The 25200-nt window shown below is 38.4% G+C and overlaps 1 protein-coding gene across 20 annotated transcripts in view; it reads right to left on the bottom strand.

Annotated features, from left to right (window-relative positions):
* Nucleotides 1-25200, bottom strand: part of SOX5 (SRY-box transcription factor 5) — a 1033147-nt gene that overhangs the window by 1007438 nt on the left and 509 nt on the right. The window contains exon 1 of one of the 20 annotated variants that reach the window (XM_047429456.1): nucleotides 25028-25200. The exons of 18 other annotated variants lie outside the window; for them this stretch is intronic. The gene's annotated coding sequence lies outside the window, so the exon portion shown is untranslated. Of the gene's footprint in view, nucleotides 1-871 lie in introns of all 20 variants that reach the window. One more of the 20 variants, XM_024449151.2, reaches the window with a different exon arrangement.

The following is a 25200-nucleotide window of genomic DNA, read 5'->3' on the forward strand; positions in this document are numbered from 1 at the left end:
ACTGTAGAAGAGACAGTCATCATGCCACACAATAATATTAGCTTTTCATTCTTCCGTGTGCATTTTTACTCTGTTTTGGTAAAAATATTATCACGTGCTCCTGGCTTATCTCATTAAAATAAATAGACATGACTGAATTCATATCTCTGGAGACACAGTAAACACAATGCAAAATGTAATTCCTCAAATTGGAATAACTGCTCTTTATTGAATAAATAACTAAATAATTAAAGCTTCTTCAAAGTGAGTATCATAGGTTGATGATGAAAAGTAACAGAATTATTCTGCAACTGGTAACATGGAAAAATAAAACAGCTGATAAGAACAACCAAAGTTTTACAGGGGGTTTAGCAGACTCTGGATCCTAGCCAAATTTCATAGCTGCCTAGAGTTTTTAGCTGAGTATCTAAAATTTGAAGGCAGAGTCAGTGTTCCTCTTGCATTTCCTAGACACAACTCATAAAATGATAGGTTCTTTTTAATGTCTAAGAATCTTGTTTAGTTCTCATTCTGCTCAGCAACATAATCTTCAGACTGAGGAAATGCCTGTTGAATCCCGTCAACTGCAGTATATAACATTTTAACATCAGAAGTCCTGGAACCACACACCTCAGGGTCAGGCCAGCAGATTTTCCCAATGCAGTCTCATTCAAGGAATTGTGATTAGCTAATGACTTGGTTTGCTTAGGTTATCTAGCTATCATCTGAATGCCAGCTACTGAGAATAAATCTCTTATGTTTCCATGTTCTAAGATAATTCCTCCATTCAAATACTCAACGCCATTTCATCTAGTCACAGTTAAAGCACCTCCCTGTTGACAAGGCATTTTCTCGAAAGTTTCTGCAGACTATTTGTCCACACTGTACATACCTGCTCAGTCCATCCCCTGGGAAGTTGCTTTTGCCATAGCTTCCTCTTTAAAAATATTCCTACACCCATGCTGGTTTTGTATCTGTTCAGTTCAAATTTAGATTCATTGGTACTTTTCCACAGTTACATTTCTTGTTCGATTGATGTTTCCTTTTATTTATTCTGAAGTTTTCGATGTAAGACAAACAGGAATACCACCTTCTAAAATTACTACTATCCTACCATCCTCCGATGGAACATTAACGGGAAGCAATATTCTCCAAAGCTATGAAGCATACACTGCCCTAAATTACATTGCAGTCGCTGCCCTGAGCTCACACATTTTTGAATAGAAAGGCTCCCAGGGATCTCTCTGTACTGACTGCATTTACTGCTTTAAAATATTTTTAACCCAGACGCTGAAGTGCCAGCCTTGCAGTTCCTCATGCTAATCCCAGCTTGGGTGGCTGTTCTTAAGGGAAAGCATTCAAAACATTGTAACAGTGCATCAACTTTGACCCTTTTCACTTAAACATGAGACTCTTAAAAAAAAGTTTGAATTCCAGAGGGAATCACTGAACTTTGACCTGCTTAAAATTAGTTTTGTTTTAGTGCCTTCACGGTGACTCAACAGGCCAATTTTCCAGACACTTAAGACGTTTCTGCCCCTGAAGATTTCAGTTCAAGTCTACAGCTATGTTCGCCGGTCAGATCAGAACACTTTGTCCCAGGGTTTCAAGCAACAAATTCCCAGATCTCCATCTCTCTGCCAGATGTTGGCATTACTTGGTATTAAGCTGGATCTAAACACACACACACACACACACACACACACACACACACACACTACACGATAAGAAGACAGACTCTAATATTTTTTTCTTCCACTTAGAGCCTTTTAAGAAACAAAGTTTTCCACTCAAAATTCAGTCATGGGGAAATGTTTATCAGAATTGTATAAACATTACTTACTAGCATAACTCCTACAACACTAAAACTCTTAACTTTCGGTTAGCAGTACTATGACATATTTAAAATATGGTCTTTCTAAATCTATCTTTATCAATGGGGAAAAAACACGCTGGGATTTTGTTTTCTAATCTATTACAGATTTTAGATATTGTTAATGAACAATTATCACATCACAAATGAACAATATCACACTGTTATACTTTCTTTCAGTAGAATTTCAAATATGACGTTTGTTGTCAAAAAGTCATGGCAATTAATAAGTAACATAAATTTACCAAAACACTAAAGGTATAGTGCATGTTCAGTATGATTTAGTCCCCCAAAACTCATCCCCCCTTTAAGAAAACAAAACTTTACAAAAACAAATTAGCCAATTTCATTAATATAAACCAACGTGTTTAAAAAGAACAAAGTACCTATTAGTTTGGAACAAGTCCTACATAAACCCTGTGTTTAAAAATGTTTAGAAAAGTCAAGGATACATGCATTCAAGTAAGAAAAAAAACAACTGGGTAGTATGAAGCCAGAAAACAAAGAAATTTTAACACAGGTAGTTAACCAGGGTAAAATAATTACTATAAACACAAATTAGTCTGTATAAATCACATATCATGTTAAACAAGAAGTCATTATTGTCTCCAACTGTTGAGCTACCTTTATTAAAAGGTGATGTTACAAAAGTGTGTTCCAGAGCTTCATGTTCAAACACTGGTTTACACTTAAATCTATCAACTTTCAAAAAGCTACCAATGATATTCTTAAAATATAGACATTTGATCCCTATTGTAATGCACTAAAGCTGGAAGGCAGACATTACAAAGATGGTACAGGGTCACAAAAACTGACCACAGTAAAATTATCTTTTAATTGTTTGCTCTCCTTATACTCAGAAAAGAAAAACTACTCACCTAAGTCTCTCTGGCAAACATTTCCTTAATTTCCTACATATTTAAGAAGGAACACAATAAAGATGTTCAAAGTGGGAGGAAATGGTGAATTTCTGGATACGTATATTAATTTAGTCCTACTTCATTTTCATTTTACTCATAAGTCATTCAACACATAAACACTGAATGACCGCAGAGTTCTTAAAATAAGAAAACATTTGGAATTCCTTCCAGTTATGTTACATTTCAAGCACATGTAACCATATGCGTTCTTTACTGATGGCTAAGAAAATAATTACTTATAGTTTTGAAAACTGGGTCAATTATTTATATGAAGAGGTGAACTGGAATGAAAATTCCAAGTGCTATGAACTAGTGCCTTCAAATGACATAAAAATTAATATGCATTATGTAAGATGCTAATGAATACACATACTTACAGATCAGACAGTCAATGGCAGTATTTAAATAAAATTATACTGAGATGTTCTCACGTAAGGACCTTATCTGAAGAATCTGCCAACATAGGATTAGCATTGTAGTTACTTAATCCTTTGTTTTAATAATAAAATATACTGCTAATTATGTAAGGTATTTGGCCTTGCATTCCAAAAGACATATTCGCATTTTTCTTTGTATACGTTGTAAAAACTAATGCAAGGTAATGTGACTTTTTTAAACAAACATACCTTGTCATCTAAGTTCAAATGTATTTTACCATGTTAATGGTCACCTTAGAACACTACTCACTTAAAGATCAGCCATTATTCACAGTATTTTTCTCTCCATCTGAAACTGTTTTCTAAGTCTGTGCACACATATGCAAGCACACACACTTCTAAATATCCTCAATGGTGACAAATTTCATAATTTGAAAGTCAATTTTAGCCATTTTCATCATTTCAGAGAGACATTTATAGCCAATTCTGGTGAATTAAAAAAGGATGATGAATCTTGGTATAAAATGCGATTAGAAAGTAATGAGATGGATGTTTTAGTCAGGCTTGCAAATGATTCAAAAGACAATTTCGAGAGAGGAAGTTTTTCCAAAATGTTTTGAACAATGGCATCATTGGAAAAGGGGTTTTGCTTCTCTGGGTGACAATTTTGAAAACAACATTAATATGAATGCATAAATTATAGTGCAATCGTTGTTTTCAAAAATCAAACTCTGTACTTTGCAATCATACCCTGCAAATATTAAATAGAGCAAATCTACATTTTTCCTGTAGATGGCTATGTATGTGTATTCTGAAGCTTCCATTGGGTGAAACTAACCATAAGTTGCATTGCAAAATATCATATATAATATAAACTTAACATAACCCTTTTAATCTTTCAAAAAATATGGCATGCAATTTTTTAAAACCCTATTTTCATTGTCAGATATTTACAACAAGCCCCAGTCTGTAGGCTTCTATAAACTTTTCTCTCCTATAAACAGTCAAAATCTGGCAAGAGCTCACTGTGGGATTATGCACAAAAACTGCAAATTTAAACAAGGTGCGAGCTTATACTTTTTCACACATTATTGTATCATGCTGCACCAGAACACTAATGTATGCACAGTTCCAAAATAGCCTGGGCTATTACTGCACAGCCTTGAAAACTACTAATATCCTGATGAGAGCACCTTTCAAAAGCTGCTCCTTTATTATTGCACTTCGGTAAAAGGTTGCTTTCATTATTTGTATTTTACAATAGAAAATAAACGAAGAAATGTCCATGACATTGCATCATCATTCTAAGGTTTTATTTCTTATTAGACTTTTTGTAGTTACAAAAGTTGTTTCATCAATATGACTATGACAATGGGACTCAATACTATTTAATCGACTCAATTATGGAACAAGTGTGCTATTTTTCCTTAGCTGCCCTACTTTCCTTTAAGTTGCATTTGAATTATTGATGAAATTGCAATAAAGCATTTCTTTGTTACACATAGTTTAGAAGTAAAGAAGGATGTTTCATGGTTAATTTTTAGACTCACAGGGATAAAATAAACACACTTGTTGTCCTTTCAAAGAAAGTCAATAGCATGGTACAAGCTTAAAAGAATGACTTTTCCTTTTTTCCCCTATTGTTTTGAGAACATAACGTGCTGAAACAGTGAACATAAATGTAAAAGGAGAAAATGGTAAGTAAGAGTATAGTATAGAAAATTCTGTTCCAGGTCTTCCTAGGTGATAAAAAAATTTAAACTACGATAAATTTAGGCTCTGCTTTTCCTCAAGTATTTCAAAGACCCATTTAGTCACGTAGCAGGCCACGAAAAACAGTACAGTGAATAGTTTTCAGAATAAGGACAACATTTCTTACTTAGGCTACTAGGATCACTACCTGATGTCCCTTCATTCTTTTTTCCAAACAACAGCCAGAATAATCTTTTTAAATCATAATTTTGAATCTTTTAATTACTCTCCAATGCTTTTATGATTAAAAACCCAAAGGCTTAAGAGGACCTACAAGATTCTATGATATATGACCCCTGCCTCCTCCAACCTCAACCTTCACAGCCTTGGCCCTTCTTTTCTGTGCCCTGGCCACACTGCTCTCTTGATCCCTTAACAGTCCAAGCTTTAGCCCATTGCAGAGATTTGTACGTGCTGTTCTCTATGCTTACTCACCCACAACTTCTCCACCTAGTTGGCCCTTAGTGCTTTTCATACCATAGCCCAAATGGCTCTTCCTCATGAAAGCCTTCTGGGACTTTCAGAATAAAACAGGCTACTCTATGTATCCTTACAGCTGCCTGTACTTTTCCTCGATAATACACTCGATAGCACTTATCACTATACATATTTATAATACAACGTTCTTAGCCCACCTACATTCCCCAAGTCGCCTGAGAAACTAATGTGCTCCATTTCTTCTGCAAAATATACGATAGGCCTACCTGGCACCTGAATGGCAGAAAGACTCCTCTAGTAACCCACACCATCCTGCTCTCACCACTTTAATTGTCTGCTTCATCCCAAGTCTGCTTATGTCATTTGTTATTGTAATCATGAAAATTAACTAAATATGACATAATTAGGGAAATATAAGGGCAAAAATGAATGTTTTATTGACACCAAATTGAATGCTTTGTAAAGACGAAAGGCAAATTGTTTATAAGAACCACTATATTAGTTGTCACCTTCGTAACACTGGGATGAAAATGTTTTAAAACTAGAAAATTCTGCACTTAGATTGCTTGCCAAATGCCTTCAAGGTCTCCTCCATTTTTAATAAATCAAAACTAAGAAGCATTCAATATATATTTTGGTGTGGCTTACCCAAGAAGATAATGAGTCTTCACTCAGGACACCCATACTTAAGTCTGAGTTCTATACCAATTAATTGGCAAATTGATAAACACTGATGAACAATGAAACATTGATAAATTAATAAAGCACACATGTTAAATATACTAAAATGTTTAATGTAAACAGCATTTATTTAAGATTCTATGCATTTGTGATTTTTAAAAGAATGAACAGTCCAGCTACCACTCACAACAACACTGGAGGAGAGAGCATCTCTCTAGTCTATTGGTATGGTCAGCTGACTCACCTCCATCTTCCTCATTAGACTGGAAGCTCCGTAAGGGTAAGGACCAAATCTCTTCTGCTTACCATTGTAACCCCCTTACTCAATTCATGTGTAACCAAAAATGGACTTTCAATAAAAAAGGTTTAAATGAATGAATAAGAAGTTAAGATTAATCAAATACAACGCTGTTTATTTTAAATTACTATGAAGATCAATATGTGGCTGGGCATGGTGGCTCACACCTGTAATCCGAGCACTTCGGGAGGCCGAGGCAGGAGGATCACTTGACATCAGGAGTTCCAGACCAGCCTGGCCAACATGGTGAAACTCCATCTCTACCAAAAAATACAAAAGCTAGCCAGGCATGGTGGTACGCGTGTGTGGTCTCAGCTACTCAGGAGGCTGAGGTGGGAGAATCACTTGGACCCAGGAGGCAGAGTTTGCAGTGAACTGAGATTATGCCACTGCACTCCAGCCTGGGTGACAGAGTGAGACCCTGGCTCAAAAAAGTTTTTAAAAATCAGTATGCAAATGCAAATAGTTATAAAGCAATTAACAACAAGTAAGGATGGAGTTACTTGAACATTTCAAGTCATAATATTCTTTTGAGAGACAGTCTACACTCAATAATGGAAAGATCATTTGTACGTATATTTTTAAAGAATCTTAATTTTATTATTTTAAAGATAGCACACTAGCATAACAAGGTTCTGCCTTTTAACTTATGAACTATATTTAAGATTATGTGATTAGGTTTCCTTAGGGACTGAACCATGATTACCATATCCTTATTAAGACATCTATATACTGGTTCCAAATCCAGCTACCTTTTAATTTTATCCATAATGAAAAGTAATAATAATGCTACCCGAAATGTATTTATCCCCTTTCTTCCAAGAAATTTAAAGCAACCAGTATCTCATGAGCAGGTACTGTTAAATATAAAAACAAGAGAACATAATTGAAATGGATTTTTATTAGCAAAATAAAAGATTTTAATAAGGAAGCTATCTTAAGTTCAGGCACAAGATGACTCTAGGATAATTCTTATAAACTCGTCTGAGTTTTACCAGGAAAGTGCTTATAAATATTTAAAATTCCAAAAAGATGGGTAAGAACTTATTATACATATGGAAGGTATTGTGTTTTCAGTTTTTCTATTGCTGAGATGACACTAATAAAGATATCTTTTCATTATTGCATTTAACTGATCTATACATTGATAAATCTGAAAAAAAGAAACAATGGAAGAACATTCAAAAGCATTCTGGGATATAAGGCAGGATATGGATCATAAATTAGAGCCAGATATACAGAAGGGTAATGGTGTCAGTGTGGCCCCAACCTTTTAGTTAATTGTGGGGAATTGCTAAACAGAAAGAAATGCTAAGTCATTATGACCCTGGCTAATGCAAACACACACACAGATATACACTCACATGCATACACACACACATTCCCTCCATGATTTAAAAAAATATTTTAAAGCATCCCAATTCTATTCTAAAACCTAATTTTTCTTCAGTTCACTTTTTAATACTTGGAGCTCATACTACCTCATTTAAATAGTAGCACATGTCAAACCCATTAAATTGCCAAATTCTGTCTCCAACGCACTTTGTCCCCATTTGGTACATAACTTATGCTTTAGAAATCTAATTCAGTAGTATTTGAAGTGGGTGCAAAAAGAAGAAAAAGTCAACTGGCATGTTAGAAGAAAATATTACAGCTTCTAATTACGTTTCTGATTTTATAGATATTCTTTATTTACTCTTTATCTTATCCCCTTTCTGTGTGTTTACTGTTTAAATAGAGTAATATATTTTTTATTGACGGTTTATATACATGATCAGAAAAATTAGGAGAGCACTGACTTAGACGTCCACCTGGGAACCTGAAAAAACCTAGGACTACCCTTTCTGGCTGATTACCTCTTGTCCACGTACTGAGCAACACTATACCCCGTACATAAAGAGACCCCATCACCACCACCATATGTGTAGGTCCAACAAGCTGTCCTACCTCCAGTTAAAATGTTGCCTTGGTTTCATTCCACAAAGACATTTTCTCCAAAGCCAGAAATTCAAGATGATCTACAAGGTTGTATTTGTTAATCCAATTACTAATAAACTGACATGGGGGCCCTCATTTTCACAACAGGAAGAAGTTAATGTTAATGCTCTCCTCTCTCTTGTTTCACCATTTTGTCACACATAACAGTTTTCCTGTGCTTGAGGAAATGCATTATGGATTGCCTTGTCTAATTTTTAGCTAAATTGACCCTCATAAAATGGACAAGGGGTTTAAAAAGGTTTTCTTCTCAAAAAAAAAAATCGACAGATTTTCAAGTAATACGAATAACGCAAACATAAGTAAACCCAGGAAAATGGCAGAATTGCATCTCATGGACCAATTGCTAGTTCTTTGGCATCCGCATTTTAATAAAAATCTGAGAATTCTAAAAAATAGAGAAGTTATCAGAAAGGTTGTTTGTAGTGGATGCTGTGGTGCGCTGCCCAGCGGCACTTGCTCTCCCAGCTGCCAGGAGTATCGGCTGCTGGAAGCTCCCAGTTCAGTCCCTTTCCAAGAATAGCCCTAGCTTAGAGTTGTGGCCCCTCCACAGGGATGGCCCACATCCCACCCCGATGTTCAGTTATAAAGGCCTGGCTCTGGGTCTCCGTTCAGAACATCTCTGAACAGCCATCCAGTTCCAGAGCTCCCCATTGGCGAGCTGAAGCCTCAGCTGCATCACAGTCAACATCTCCTCCTATCCGTCCTTTTCCCTCACCCTCTCGCAGGTGGTGTCCCTGAGAATCCTCCCAGAAACTCACTGCATGCAAATCTACATGTCACAGTAGGTCTCCGGGAAACTCTGACATGACTGTTAGAGGCACCATCGTTTAACCTGGACCTTGCTTTCAGTGTTTATTGGGCCCTGAATATTAACTAAAGTAGCAACACATGTACATAAACTATGAATGTCTGTGTGTTTCTGTGCTTGTGTGTGTATTCTTGGGGATGTGTGCTCTAACAATTTGCCTGATGGAGTATCCCTAAAATATTAATACATCACTGAATATGCAAAGACAGCATTTTAACTGCTGACTTCAGGAGCTAGTTTTCCATTTTTTGCTTACTCTGTCATTCATTCACAAGCAAAGCAGACCATGTTACTTAACAGTATGAGTTTCCCCATGGCCTACACGACAGAATCTAGTGAGTATGAGTCTGTAATAAAAAGATCACCTTGATCTGACTCCTGCCCACCACACAGCCTCATCTCGGCTAGTCCTGCCCTGTACTCTACGCTCTACCTATACCAAACTATCTGTAATTCCAAGAACACAACATGCTATCTCTCACTGCCATGCCTTTCCACTCAGGTTGTCCCATCTTCTTGGAACACACTACCACTCTCTCAGAGCACCACCCCTTGCCTTGCTTAGCTGAACTCACAGTCTTAGCAAGGACAGGTTGGTGGAAGCAGAACATCCAAGGGCAAATAATAAGTGGGTGCTCTGTTGGCAGAAAATCTAAGAAATATAACTGATAAAAAGTTGGTGAGCCTTTTATCACCTAGATCCAACAACTGTAAATTCTACCAGTAATAAAATGGTCCTTGCAGTAGGGTTGACTTCCCCCAGGGCCCGCCCTGGATATGCCACATACCCAGTAAACCATGGCTCAGGAATTCCAGTAAACACTGAGAACTTCCAGTAAAACTTTGGAAGGCTTGGACATAGGCCATTATTAGCTCCAGGAAACAAAATAAGTTGTATTTAAAAAGTCAAAGTAATCAGTATATAATATGCTCAGGAAGACACACGCAACATTTACATAGTCAAAGTAACTGTATTACTAAACTGATTTAACAACAAAAAAAGAAATTATATTGGAACAATAGGAGAAAAAAAATGTGTGGTTTTAGGAAGTAGGGGTAGGAGGAGTATAGTATAAGAGAGCCAAATAGTGAGAAGTCAACTGATATCTAACATTTTTTTTTTTTTTTTTTTTTTTTGAGACGGAGTCTCGCTCTGTCGCCCAGGCCGGACTGCGGACTGCAGTGGCGCAATCTCGGCTCAATGCAAGCTCCGCTTCCCGGGTTCACGCCATTCTCCTGCCTCAGCCTCCCGAGTAGCTGGGACTACAGGCGCCCGCCACCGCGCCCGGCTAATTTTTTGTATTTTTAGTAGAGACGGGGTTTCACCTTGTTAGCCAGGATGGTCTCGATCTCCTGACCTCATGATCCACCCGCCTCGGCCTCCCAAAGTGCTGGGATTACAGGCGTGAGCCACCGCGCCCGGCCTATCTAACATTTTTTTAAACAAGGAAAACAAGGAATAAACATTTTACTTAGAAACACAGAATTGAAAGCAGTAGAAATGGAGTGGGTATAGTTGTCAATAGGACAAAAATGCTATTTTATTATATAGCCTTGGGTTTTATATTATGTGCATACATTATTTTAATGGTATCTAATTGATTAATAAAATACTCAGCTCAGGCATAAGTTGTCTTAGAAAACCTTCTCCAACCTCTCTTCGGTGCTCTCAAAATACTCTATCTGGGTTTATTTCTCTATCACTATACTTATCCCAATAACAAATAACCAGTTTCTGTTACTAGCTCCCCTATCAACTTGAAGTTCTCACAGACAAGTATCAAAATTTATTTATACAGTGTTCGTATCCCCTGGCAGAAATGAGACTTAAATTCAAATCTGAATTCAACAAATATTCACTGAGTTACAAGTAGAGAAAAGTAGTAATAAGACACAGGGTTCTGACTTCAAAGAATAAAGTTTATAACCATAAACTGCTATTGTATGCTGAGATTCATTATGTGCCGGAGATTTTTTTAAGTACCTTGCATTCATTCTATCATTAATTCCTCATAATGGCTTCATAAAGTAAATGTAATTATACCCATTCTGCAGATGAGGAATCAGACTCAGAGGGCTCAAGTAAATAACCCAGCTAGAAGGGAAAATCCAAAATAGCAGTGTTAATATTGAGCTACAGCATCGATGTCCCTTGACACAAACTCACAATATCTCTCAGGAGATAAGACATGCTCACAACATGATTACAATATGCTACAATAGATGCTGAAAGCCATAAAGATAGTTACAGATATAAGTGTCATAAGATCAGAGTGAGAGATATTCAGCTAGTATATTTGGTGAGAATGCTGTGAAAGAGTAAAATGTAATTTGGAAATTAAGGGATGGGCAGGATTTTAGAATATCTGTACGAGGGAGAAGCGTTGTACAAAAGGAAGACATAAAGAGGTGAAGGCAAGTATGTATATGTAGACACGAGGCACTACATGTTCTGTGTCAAATTTCTCCCCACCAGCAGAGTCCCCAGGAACTAGAAGTATGGATTTAAGCACCTACTTTTTAAAGCTGTGAAACATGGAAACACTGGGAGATGACCAGAGGGAGTATCCCAATAGGTTAGTGGAATGGGGATGGAGGGTGGTACAAAGCATCTGAAACAGCATGTTTGTTTCTGAAATCCTTCCTCTTGCCTTCCTCTCTAACACTACTGCTATAGTCCAAGCCACCATGTTTCTCTTGTGTGAATCATTTCAATAGCCTCCTTTCTAGCTCACCCAAATCCGTTCATTCCTGCCTCTCTTAAATGTGATCTACAGGCTGTAGGCACAAATTTTATTGTCCTGAGAAACCTCAATGGGTTCTTCATCACCGTTATTATGAAGACTCAACTCTGTAACATAGCTGAAAAAGCTTAATGATCTGATCCCAATCTCTCTCTACAACCTCATCTCCATCTATTTCCCTTCCACTCTGCTTCAGCCATGCTGCCCTTCTAATTCTAAGAACACACTCTTTTCCCTCCCTCTTTGGAAACCTTACACATGCTATTCCTTTCACCTTGAAAGATTTTTTTCTCCTGTCCTCATTACCTCATTAGCCATCTTTAAAATGTGACATTTTCATGTAAGCATCCTCTAACTGCTCCTCCCTCAAATACATCAGAAACTTCTCTCATATGCTGTATAATCTTCTGTGAAATACAGTTCCACAATTTGCAATCATAAACGCTGATAATTATTTGATTAATGTTGATCTTCCCTAATAGACTTTAATTGCTTGTGTGCAAAGTGTGTGCCTGTTCCACACACCACTGAATCTCTAGCAGTTAACATGGTGTCTGGCTCATAGTAGGCACTCCAGAAATATTTATTGATTACTGAATGAATGAAGAAACAAAACAAAAAGAGAAAGCAAAAATACAGAGCAAAGTGGATTGGGAGCCAAGGAAAGTCAATTGACAAGGAGGTTTAAAGCAGATAGAAAGAGCAATCCTGGAAGAAATCCATGAGTCAGACAGGGCCAGGTGTCAGAAGTGGCTTTTGTGCACTGGCATGGCTTCTGTATGAGCATTCTGAGAAGAGTTAATAGGGCTGATGTGTTGCAGATAGTTTGGGAGTCATCTGAAAATCTCTGTTCAGCTTGAACCAGATCACAAGCAAATTATTCTTGAAAGGAAGGTCTCAAACATGAGCCTGAAAAGATAGTTGGAGACATTGAAGAAGCTCTTAGAAACCAGACTTAAGAATCTTAGTCGCATCCATGTGTGGTACCCAGGCACTCTGAATGTTGGAGAAATATTTCTAAATATTAACAGCATGTCAGGAGGATTGGCCTGATAGTGGTAAATAGAGCAGAGTCGAGGGAAAGATACTAGTTTGGGGAACTTGCAATGATTCAGGGTGAGAGGGGTGAATATAGAAGAAAGGGGAAAATGCAAGCATCATTTTGAGGGATGACTTAACAGGACTAAAAATATATTTTTCTATGTTACAATGAGCAAGAGCTCAGACTTCAGAATCAGTCCACTCTGGGTTCAAGTTTCAGCTATGCCGTTTGCTAGCTATGCTACTTTGAGCAAGCTCAGTTTCCTTGGCTGTATAATGGGACAGCATCTGTAACTATGTTAGAGTTATTAGGAAAATTCAATAAAAATAAACTGCTTAGTACAATGTCTAGCAACAATAACATCAATCAACATCAGTGTCAACTGTGCTTTCAAGTGAGACAGGAGCAGGGGCGCCATGATGGTATACCAGGGAGGAAACGATTCTTGGTGGACAGGTCTTCATGTCATAAGAAGATAGCCACCTATGTTGTTAATTCCTGTCCTGGCTTCTGCTGGATCTTCCTTATAACCCATTTACCTTTCTAGCTTCTGCTCTGGACTCATGCCAAACACAATCTCTGATGACCCTTTTAGAGACCTCATCCTTCAAACAGATGGAGCCATTTCTAAACTTTTGCCTGCAACATTTATTTCCAACTTGCCCTCTTATTCTAACCCTGCCCCCAGAAGCAATCCTAGATACTAACCTCCATGGCTAAATACTCCACTTCTCTCTTCTGAAGAAATATCGGAAAGATTATGTTGAAAATAAGTGCAAAGTTAAACTTGATTTTTAAGAGTTAACAGAGAATGATTATTTCTTTTTCCTCCAAGGATAGGTAATAGCATCAGATTCTGAAATTAAGCACAGCAGGAAGAAAGAGGCTGCATAGATTTCACAGAGTATCACAGGCCTTTGCAATAAAGCACTTAAAAATGCCTTGTATTGCTAATTCTTTACACAATCTCCTTTTATTTCCAAAGCAGTATGCAGGGCTTGAGCCATGAGACACGCATTGATGTTAACATTACACTGCTTGAATTACAGCCATTTTTCTACTAAAACTCTGGTTAGGTTTAGAATTACTTTTTACCTTCCCTCCCCCTGAATATATTTTTCAGATCAAATGAGTAGTTGCCTCTTCCAACAATGCTGAACCCACTTTTGCAGTCATTACCTTAGCAAACATTCTTCCCCTCAAGATTCCAATAACCAGGCCTTGACCTGTATGGGAAATCTGCCTGCTTAAAGATCTCTGGATCGCATGTCACTCTGGGAATTCTAACTGAATGAGGGCAACTCTCTTTTCAGGCTGCTTTCAAGTTCCCATCTCCCCCCAGCCCCAAACCAATACTCCTCATTCATTCATTGAATTATTCACCAAATACTTATTAAATAGCTAATATTAGCAAGACACTGTGCTGGGCACGCTGGTGGATTTTCATAACAGTAAAATGAAAGTGGAATTGTCCATAAAGCACTGCTTGGTGACAGACAATCAGATGTAGACCTCACTGAACGTTAAATAGATTGTCTAAGAATGTGCAGTTTTATGAAGATTTATTATTTTCACGATCACCAGTCTATTGGCTAGCATCTGTAAAGATTTAGCTTCTCTCTTTACAAGATATTTTTGTATAACGTAAATGCTTTTTTCCCCTGTCCATGTGGAAGCGCTGTCGTTTGTTCAATAAATATTTGCTGAGTGCTACAATCATACGGAGAACAAAACAGATCACACGGAGAACAAATAGACAAGGTCCCTATCCTCATGCGGTAACTGTTATCCCAAGATAATAGACACAGAGGACTCATGTTTTGATCCCATACAAACCTTGGGTTAGTGTTTTTCATTGTTTATTTGTTTGTATAAAAGGCACTTTCCTGTAAGGACCATATTAGCCTAATTAAAACCCTGTCCTCGTCTTATCTCACCAGGACTCCTTTTCAGCCTACTCTTTCTCCCCTTCTCTAGCCATAGTAATCATAATCAAACTCTTCTAGTCTGTTTTCTACATGCTGCTCTCTCCTTCTGTGTGTTTTTATTCATTGATTAAACAAACATCTTTAGGCACCCACTATGTCCCAGACATTGTCTTATTTGGGATACAGGACTGGATAAATAGATCAACCTCTTGTCTTCTGTCTACTTAGTCTCCTTCAGTCTGGCCTGTTAAAAAGTTATTTCCAAGGCTAGAATACATATAACTGGCCCCAGGGCCCCCTTCCCCACTCCCCAACCCCTAGATTCCTTATGTCAGGTCCCCTCACTCTTGACTTGAAGCATGTTAATGTTTTATATACTCAAATTACTAAAGGCTCTTTAAATTTTATTTTAGAACTCCTAAAACCACATTATCAAAAAAAAAGTCTTTCTAGCAGTCCAACAATCAGTTGTGCTTTATCTTGGCACTACCACTATTCTGTGAGCATCTTACTTAAATTCCATATGCCATGTATATATAACTTACTACCAAACTAGATCAATGAATTTTTTATCACTGGTTCTCAAACTTTTATGTGCAAAAGAATCACCAGTCACACTTGTTACAAATGCAGGGTTACAGCACTACACCTACAGAGATTCAGGTTCTATATGTCTGGGATGAGACCCAGAAAGCCCCATTTTCAACAAATATCCCAAGTGGTTTTCAACTGGCTGACTGGATGATCACCTTTGAGAAACACTGTTCTGTAATTTCCTTTGATGTCAGTTTTTACGTATTCAGAATCTCTGCTTAAGTCATAAAATACTTTCCCTTAAGTATATGCAACACGCATCTGTGTGTTCAATGAATATTTTTTGGTGAATATAGGGATTAGTGAATATTTGATAATAAGCAACATTTAGAAATCGCTTTATAGGCTGGGTACAGTGGCTCACGCCTGTAATCCCAACACTTTGGGAGGCCAAGGCAGGCAGATCACTTCAGCTCGGGAGTTCAAGACCAGCCTGGGCAACATGATGAAACCCCACCTCTACACAAAATTTAAAACAAACTCCATCTCTACCCAAAATTTAAAGCAAATTAGCTGGGCATGCTGGCGCATGCCTGTGGTCCCAGCTACTCAGGAGGCCGAGGTAGGAGGATCACTTGAGCTCGGGCAGTTGAGGCTGCAGTGAGCCATGATTGTGCCACTGCACTCCAGCCTGGGTAACAGAGTGAGAACTTGTCTCAAAAAATAAGAAAAAGTATAAAAACAAGAAAGAGATCACTTTACAGCAAAGACATAGCTTTCAATAACTATTTCTCATCTCTTCCTCCTAACTGTCTCGTGATAGCCAGGTATTGTTAGTGCTCCCATTTTACAGAGAGGAATCCCACACCAACACCTTGTGATGGAAGAGAATAAAAGTGGCAGAATCAAATAGACTGAAATTCAGGCAAAGACTGTCCCGCTCACTAGAGCTGAGGAAGATGGGCAAGTCACTTGACCACTGGAGTCTCTTGTTCATCTGTGAAAAGGTGCTAATATCCATCTGATAGGAGGGCTGGGAGGGTTAAATGAGATTATCCATGTATGGCATCTAGCACCCCTCCTGGAACACAGTAAACACTCAAGAGCTGTTCGTTTTCCTACTTCCCCATCGTGCAGGGCTGCCTTGACTCAATATGAAACTCATCTTGCAAACTATGCTCACTCAGCAATCATGTATGTGGTTGCTGCTCTGTTTCAGGCATTGTGATTCTGCTAGGACTACAATTCAATGCCCTCAGGGAGCTTACCTTCTAATTGGAAATGTTTTATGTCACCCTATGGTTACCCATTTCAAATCAGGCAGCAGAGTATTTCGAAAACCTTTCATTTCATGCAGTGAGTCCAACACAAGGCAGAGTGGACAGTGGTGCCATGAGAATAGAGAATTTGTGGTAAGAGAAAGGTTAAGAAAAGCCAGCAAGGAGTGATAGGTAAAAGGAGATAGGAAGAGAAGAGCTTCTGGGTGGCCCCAGGAAGTCTCTAAAAATAAATAGAGGACCTATGAAATTTCTTTACATGCTGATAGATCTCTATCTGTTTGTTTCATATGCATGAAAATTATCACTTTAGTTCCTGGTTGGATGTGGAAAAGACACTCCTATTCGGTTAATAGAGAAGGTACGTGGAGATGAGGCTGAGAGTGAAGTAAGAAAATTCAAGACAGAATTATAAGAAATAGTATGCATGTCTTCAAAAGCAGTTCCCAGTGCAAGAGTACATTGATGAGACTGATTCTGCCAGACACATATGAAAGAATGCCAATGGTGCACAGGAATATCAAGCATCACAAGAACTTGCATGCAAACTGCAGTCTACTCCTGATAGTATACATCAAACAACGTCAGCTCTTAGTAGTCCTGAATTACACCGGTACATCTAGGCAGACATCGGATTTTGCCATAGTTCCTAAACCAGAATGGGGATGAGCCAGCAACTATGGAAGGTATAAACCTGCCACAATGGAGGATTAAATCCAAAGTTTAGTGAGAGGTGCCATCTAGGAAACACACTGTCAAAAGTATGAACATCTTTTTCTTTTCCTCTCACAAACGTAAGTTTGTCAGTCTTTTTAAGTAGAGACATTGAAGCAACCCGTGCTCACTCTTCAGGAAAAAATTATGCCAAAAGCTTCACAGTAAGCAGTCCTTATCCTGGGCACAGATTCCCTAGAGGAGTCCCTTGTCTGAGGAATGTGTCAAAAATTAGCTCTCTTTTCCTGCCTCCCATCCTCCTTGGATTCCAAAGTTGTCCCAGTGCCAGTTTCCCACAGTACAACACAGAGAACCACCTAAAAATCTGGGTCAAAATATTAGGGGTCCCAGGAATCCTACTGAAACTCACAGGCTAAGTGGGCGTCTTCTTGTATCCAAAAAGAAAGCTTCCTTGCATACACAAAAGTATTGCTCTCAATCACAATCCTGATTACCAGTCTGACTGAGTCTAAATGACGTGGTCTTCATCCTCCACCACAACCGCCTCCCCGCCGACTCTGGCCCAAAAAAATAGCAACAACTCAATTCTCAGTCCAATAACGTCTTTTCTCAGATGTTGTTCTCCCAGTGGGTAGAAGAATGAACTACTGCAATGCCACCAGCTCCTCTACAGTTTCTTTTAATTTAAAGTTACAACAGGAGGGAAGAAAAGAGACTTTCTATTAAGGGACAACTCCCTGAAGGGGCTCTTAGCTGACAATCGAAGGACTGCTCATGGCAGTGATCAAATCTAAGGCAACAAAGTGCTGGTGGCTCTGCGACTCATCACAGCAGGAGCTCGCGCTGAGGGCCACTTGAGTTCAGTGCTTTGTGGTGCTGCAAGTTGGTTTAGGAACAGTAACACAGGGGAGCAAAGACTTGCAAGGTGTTTGAGGCTCAAGATAAAATGCAGACTTCCAGTGCGTTGCTACTCAACTGAATAGAAAGCCTAGAGAGGTAAGGAAATGAAGAGAGTTCTGCCTCATGCTTTAGGGCCAATTACCTAAAGATGGTCAAGGTCAGTTGGTATAGCTGGTGTACGGTTTATACTCTGATAAAAAATAAGGATTAATGGAAGATAAATGAACCAAGCTATTTTTAAATGATAAGCATTAAAGATGTTTGCTTGCATAAACAATGCCTTCCAATTATATGAAATATCCATTATTTAAATATATTTACAATCACCTGATAAAATTCATCTATAGCTTTCAGATGCATTTTGTGAGTACATCGAAAAGAGTGTAAAATACATCGGGCATTTCCTCCATGCCACAAACAGTACAATGGACTTAGAGATGATCTCGTATAACCTAATTTAATCCCAATTAGTGAGGTGATACTGCCATTACACTCATTTTGCAATTGAGGAAAACAAAGCTCAAAGAAACTCAAAACTCAAAGAGACCTCAAAGAAATTGCCAGGTCTCATGTGTGTGAGTGTGTGTGTGTGACAGAGAGACAGAAAAAGACAGAGTCCAAAGCAAGTGTCCAAAGCAAGTGAAGTACTACTAAACTGGGCTATACTGCCAAACCACAGCTATACCATTCAGATCTCCTGTTTTGAGAGTGTAACTGACTTACTTCCCCAACTGCTTCCCCTATGGCTCTAGCACCACTTAGGCACGGAGGCCATGCTTCCTGTAGCTGCTCCCAGCCAATGACTGACAGTGAGGAATGCTGATACAGGCCATTCTTTCAAGATAGGTGACTCTTCCAATGGCTGACTCTTATTTGCCTAGCCAAACCTTTCATAGGCTGCACTATAGTCAAGCTTCTTCCTACTCAATCGTCTTCCCTTGCCCCTCTCCTTGCATAAGTGTCAAACTTGCCTCATAGTCAAAAGGCTCTCCCGGCCTTGTCCTGCCCTCTCCCCTAATAAACTTCTTACAGGTCTAATCCCATCTTGGCAACTGCTTCTTCAGGAACCCCAATTAATGCAAGAAAATACATTTATTTTCTGTTTTAAGAAGACTTTCCTTTATCTTTGCTTAGTTGTACTGATAGACAAATTCTGTTTCATTGGGAAGAGAAAATAACAACTAATTTCTCCATGTTACTTTACATCACCTCTTCAAATCAGGCAATGGTATGTTTATGGTGCCTTTCTCCTTGCACCCAATTTAAATAAACAAACCAACCTACAAGTTTCTCTTTGAAGGACTGTTGACTCCAGAGAGCAAAACATTGAAAACTCAGATGGATTTCTTTTTCCACACGGACTTTCTGTTTATCCACAGGTACTATAACTTAATATAATGCAGAGGTGAATGACTATCAAACGATTAAATCTCAATAAATTTTCACTAGTTCATATTTGCTAACAGGAAATCAAAAAGATAACAAGAGGAAAAATCTACAGAATTAGGTCCTAAAGTTTTTATTTATCCTTACCTATTATGTAGGGTAAAAATGTTAATTACTGAAGGAGCACTTATATGAATAAAAGATAGAATTCACACTTGCACCAAATACAGCACCTTAATAAAACCACATTGTCAGAGATCATATACAGACCACTGAATCACTATTTTAAAGTGTTGATCTCAGCCTCAAGAAAGTGATACATTTTTTCTTTTTAGACTCAAATAAGTTCAAAGTAAGTACAAAATGAAACTTCAAACGTTATTAATGATCAGAACCTAGACTCGACTGGGAGAGAGAGCTGAGTGTAGCTAACATTTATTGAGCACCTAGTTCATGACAGACACTATGCTAGGCATTTCACACGTAGTATCTAACATAATCCAAACAATACCCCTATAAGAAAGGGCATCATAATTTGCAGTTTAAGAGGTTAAGAAGGCCAGGCACGGTGGCTCACGCTTGTAATCCCAGCACTTTGGGAGGCTGAGGTGGAGGATCACGAGGTCAGGAGATCGAGACCACTCTGACCAACATAGTGAAACCCCACCTCTACTAAAAATACAAAAATTAGCTGGGTGTGGCCGCGCATGCCTGCAATCCCAGCTACTCCAGAGGCTGAGGCACAAGAATCCCTTGAACCCAGGAGGCGGAGGGTTCAACATCCCTCCGCCTGTGGACCAACATAGCGCCACTGCACTCCAGCCTGGTGGCAGAGCAAGACTTCATTTCAAAAAAAAAAAAAAGAAAGAAAGAAAGAAAAAAAGAGGTTAAGAAAAAAAAGGAGGTAGAACCCTGTAAGTTCAGATCTCTAAATAACGTTTTGGATGAATCACAGACCTACAAATGAGATAGCCTTTCTCCTCTCCTGATTCCTTCCTGAATTCCCTCACTTCCAACAGTTTAATTGGTGTTGAAGTAAGAAAAAATGTCTTAAGCTACCAGAGAATACAAACTGCGTATCAAACTAAAGTCCGCTCATCCCTATGACTACTGTATTATTTTTAAGCTATGTACATAGGATATCATAAAAACATACAGTAGTTGAATGACATGTAGCTGAGCATCAGAGATACAATCAGGTCTTTGTTTTGGGGTGTTTTGTTTTTACTTATAATGAACTTTAAGAAATAGAAAATGAATGGACTTATACTTGTAGAATTCAATGCCACCATCACTAGTACTCCCCAAGATACATTTTTATGGCTCAATTTTGAAGGATGGTTATTTAATGGTTATTTACATGCATTCAAATTTTTCCTAATTTTGTCAATATGCTGCCCCTACTGAATGTTATCCTTAATTGCAAGTAAAATCATTAGTTGCCTATAAGGTATGATTTGAGTAGTCCTGAAAAAGTCCTCATGCATGTAAATATTTCCTCCTGGCAGCTTTCCTTGATACCTGTAATTGCAACAAGTTTATCTCTATGGAATTAGACGATCATAATAAACTGCCAAAATAACAGTAATATCATCTAGTTTGAGAATTAAACCATAATGAACTATTAGCAACTTTAAAATAATTAGCTTATGAGCCAGAGGTTAAATGGGGCAAATGAGGCAGGAATTCAGAAGGGCCCATCAAAGCAAAATGGACTGTCAAGGGCCCATCCTGAAGGTCAGGGTCCTCGCTGGTAAAGCCTTCAAAAGTCCCGTGTAGGCAGATAAAGGAGCAGGGCTTTGGAGGAAACAACCCCCCGCGAAATTCCGCTAACTCATAGTTAGCCTACCTTTGACCCTGACTCAATTTTAAAGACAAGGAAATTGAATTTGGTAAAATTTATTAAATAGTCCTACAGAAATGTCCCCATATGGCCTGGCTAAAACAAACTAAAAGTGCCTGATTGTCTGCCCTTCTACTGAGCCTTAAGCACTCCATTTCTCCCCTCTTAAATATCAAAATTCATTATATTTAAGCAAAAGGTTAGATCTTTGCTTCATATTTTTAAAAACTTCACTTTACTCCTTTATTAATGGCAACTTTTCATGCAAACGAACTCTTGGTTAATTTAAGATCTTGAAATTACTTCTCCACATCAGAAATCCCTCTCATAAATATTAGGTATGAGTGATTATTTACGTTACATCACACACACAAAGTAAACAACAAAGACCCCACTCACATTTGAGAATCATTTACTATTCCAACTCCCCAAGCTCCCCCAAATGGGAAATGGAATAACCAGACTGATCATAATTGGATTAAGAACCATAATTCTTTAATTCATTCATCAAATTGAGGCATTTGGAACAGTTTATTTACAGAGTTGTTTAGACAGTTTTGTGTGGTGTTTTTTAAGATAAACCAAAATGCCTTTCTGAAATAAGTTTCAGATCCCAAATCATTAACATATGAAAACCAAATGCAGACAATTTACAAATGGGTGTTTTAAAACAATGTTTGGAACAAAATTGGACTTTTATTTCATTAACTATCTACAAATCTAAGTTCAGGATATAGTTTATTTGAAACAGCCAAGCACTTTCTTCGCCTTTAAAATAAATCTTCATTTCTCAGACTAAAAATTTTTGACCAGTGCATGAGGGAATGCATTTGACTTCAGGCCTAGACAAATAAGTTTCCAGGTTACTCTCAAAACTCCAATTATAGCATTCTCTACCACTGAAGTTGATTGGATATTGGGTGAATCATCCAGGTTATGCCAATCAATTATATCCAACAATTATACCTGCTGGAAATCTAAACAGTATTCAACATTAGAACTCTCCGTTATTTGAAATCCAGTGTATTTTAGGAGATTAGGAAACATAAATTTTGTCCTGTAAGTTTTACTTTTTTATATAATCTGAACATACCCTCAAATCAATGATTACTTATCACTCAGAAAAAGAACAGAGCTTTTCAAGAAGGTAGTACATACTGTAAGCATTAGATCATATTTTAAACTTGCTTTGTAAGTAAAAAAAAAAAAATTCTTTAAGCATTTAAATTCATTCCTTTAACTGGAAAAGGTAAATTTAGAAATTTAAATTCTCCTTATCACTCATAACTCACCCCCACTGAGGACAACCAAAAAGATGACAACATACCTGAGTATAAACTTCACTCTTTTGCTATTTACTATTTATATACTCCACAGATAGCATCTTTCCAAGTGTATATTCATTTTTTTTCTTTTACCAAACCACGTGTCAGTCTAAACAGGATGTGCACTTACATGTATAGAACTAACTTAATTTGAATTAGCCATTGGACCTCAAATGCCTAGTTATTTACCAAACAGGTTTTGGAGTTTTGAATTCTATATACAACATGCCATTCAACCAGAACTGTTTAAGCTCAACAACAAAACTAATACAAGCTTTCCGTATTAAGAATTGAAGTTTTTCCTGTATTAAGAGTTTACACTTGCAAGTCTGTGTCAGATTGGATCAATACTACCCACTCAAAAAGGCTACAAAATGAATTTTTTTAAACCCACAGCAAGAAAAAACTGTTGATTCTTCAGGAACAAGGTTGTTAGAAGAGAGATCACTGGAAAGAAAAGGGGGAAAAAAGAAAGAATTTCAAGCAAGTATGCTACTATGTAATTAACACAAATAACTAAATAATTATGCACATCCCTTCCCACCCCCACAATTAAATGTTTTTAAACAACTCATGTGATGAAAGATCTACCTTTTAGGCAAACAAAAGCAATCCCTAGCAGTTTAAGGATTTAAGGCTGTATTGCATCAGTTTTAAGTGATGCTTATGATTTTTATCTTGTATAGTTCTGAGGAATAAACAGTTGATGGCATAATTTGCAGGAGAACTTTGCACAGTGCCTAAAAGAACTTCCACTGTAAGTACTTATGATTTTAAATCATTGTGGCTGAATTTATCTAGGCTTCTGCCTGGGAGCTATATTTAAATCAGGAAGAAGCACCCCTAGAAACTTTGTTCCATGTATCTGCATTTGAAACCAGATTCCTTCCCTATCTGAGCTAACAGCAATTCTCATACAGCTGAATTCCTTTAAAATTAGACAGATCAAAATTTAGCAGTTCTGTAAAGGCTCTAAGAAATCGTCCTCCTTTTAAATGCTATAAAAGTCAAACTTGAAAAACATTTCCGTATACTTTAAAGCCATCTGGCCCTTAACCTAATCACTCTTGGCCATCGAGCCTCACTCCCGTAATCCTGATCAAAAATTTTCCTCTGGTTTTTCTGATGGAAATGTCCATTGCCTACAAATCTCACATGTGCCTACTTCATTGGCCTGTTTGTGTCTGTGTGTGTGTTTTCAGGGTACTAGGGGCCATTATTTATGAAAAGCAAGGAAACAAATCACTGTCCAGTCCCTTTGCAGATTCCCACACTTACTGCCCCAAATCCCACAGATTTCCCTTGGTCCTGCCCTTGGCTAAAGAACTCTGCTGAGCCAGAAGGCAGTCCCTGGGGACACCTCCTTATGCCTTCCTTGACAAAGTCCTTTGGCTATCTGGGTATGTGAGGATCTCAAGTGGGTTCCAGCAAATCCCTAAACTTTTGTAAGAAAGTACAGTTGACTGCCACCCAGAGTGCCTGGACTGCCTGGCACCGAGTGTAGGGCTCTGCATATTCACAGGATTCCTCGTCTTGACCTGCTTTAGCTGAGAAGGGAACACATTAAAATGAATTCACATTCATCATCACATTCTGAATTTAGTCACAGAAACCAGCGTCTTCAGATATTCACCAGGGTCAATCTATTTATTAATATAGTCGCTTTGCAAAGTGTAGGGAAAATGACTAATAAAATATGTAAACAGTGCTTCGTGTGCATCCGATCAATACTCAACAAACTGCTGCTCTCCAACGCAAACATTTCCAAATCCAATTTGATTTCAACTCGTATAACCTCTTTTCATTGCTTCTTATTGCTGTAGCCCCAAAGTGCAAGCGAGATTTCCCAAACCCGCGCTTAAAGTGACACAACACGTGAGTGGTCTTCACTTGGTACACTGAGTGAGGTGGGGGGAAAAAGTAGTTGCAATTAGAATTAAAGCTTCCGGTCTCTGAAATCCCTAGAATCCTGAAGGATGAGACTTGTTTCAGAAATTCCGGGCGGGAGGGAGGGGGAGTGGTAGGGAGAAGGATTGCAGAAAGCGAAACAAAAAGACGAAAGAGTCGGGAGGTGGGGGTGACTAAGGTTAGGGGGTGGGCCAGGGGTCGCTCTGATATCCTAGAAGGGTTAAGGGGCTTTGTCCAACTTTTAGGGTCTGGCCTTGGACATTGGCCGCGATGCCCAGCACAGCCCAGGGTTCTCCCCGCACTCTCCTCTCGCATCAACCACCTCCACCGCCACCACTTACAAAACAATACCAGCAACAGTACGCAGGCTTCCCAACAAAAATAGAAAGTTATCCCGTCTCCGGGTCGGGGTCCAAGCCGGCGCTCCAGGGTCCCCCGGCCAGCCGCCCCCGGGGATGACAGGGCCACTCCGCGCCTCGGGCCGCCTCCCACCTCTCCGCCACCCCCAGCCCAG

The sequence above is a fragment of the Homo sapiens genome, chromosome 12 (genome assembly GCF_000001405.40).
Source record: "Homo sapiens chromosome 12, GRCh38.p14 Primary Assembly".
NCBI lineage: Eukaryota > Metazoa > Chordata > Mammalia > Primates > Hominidae > Homo > Homo sapiens.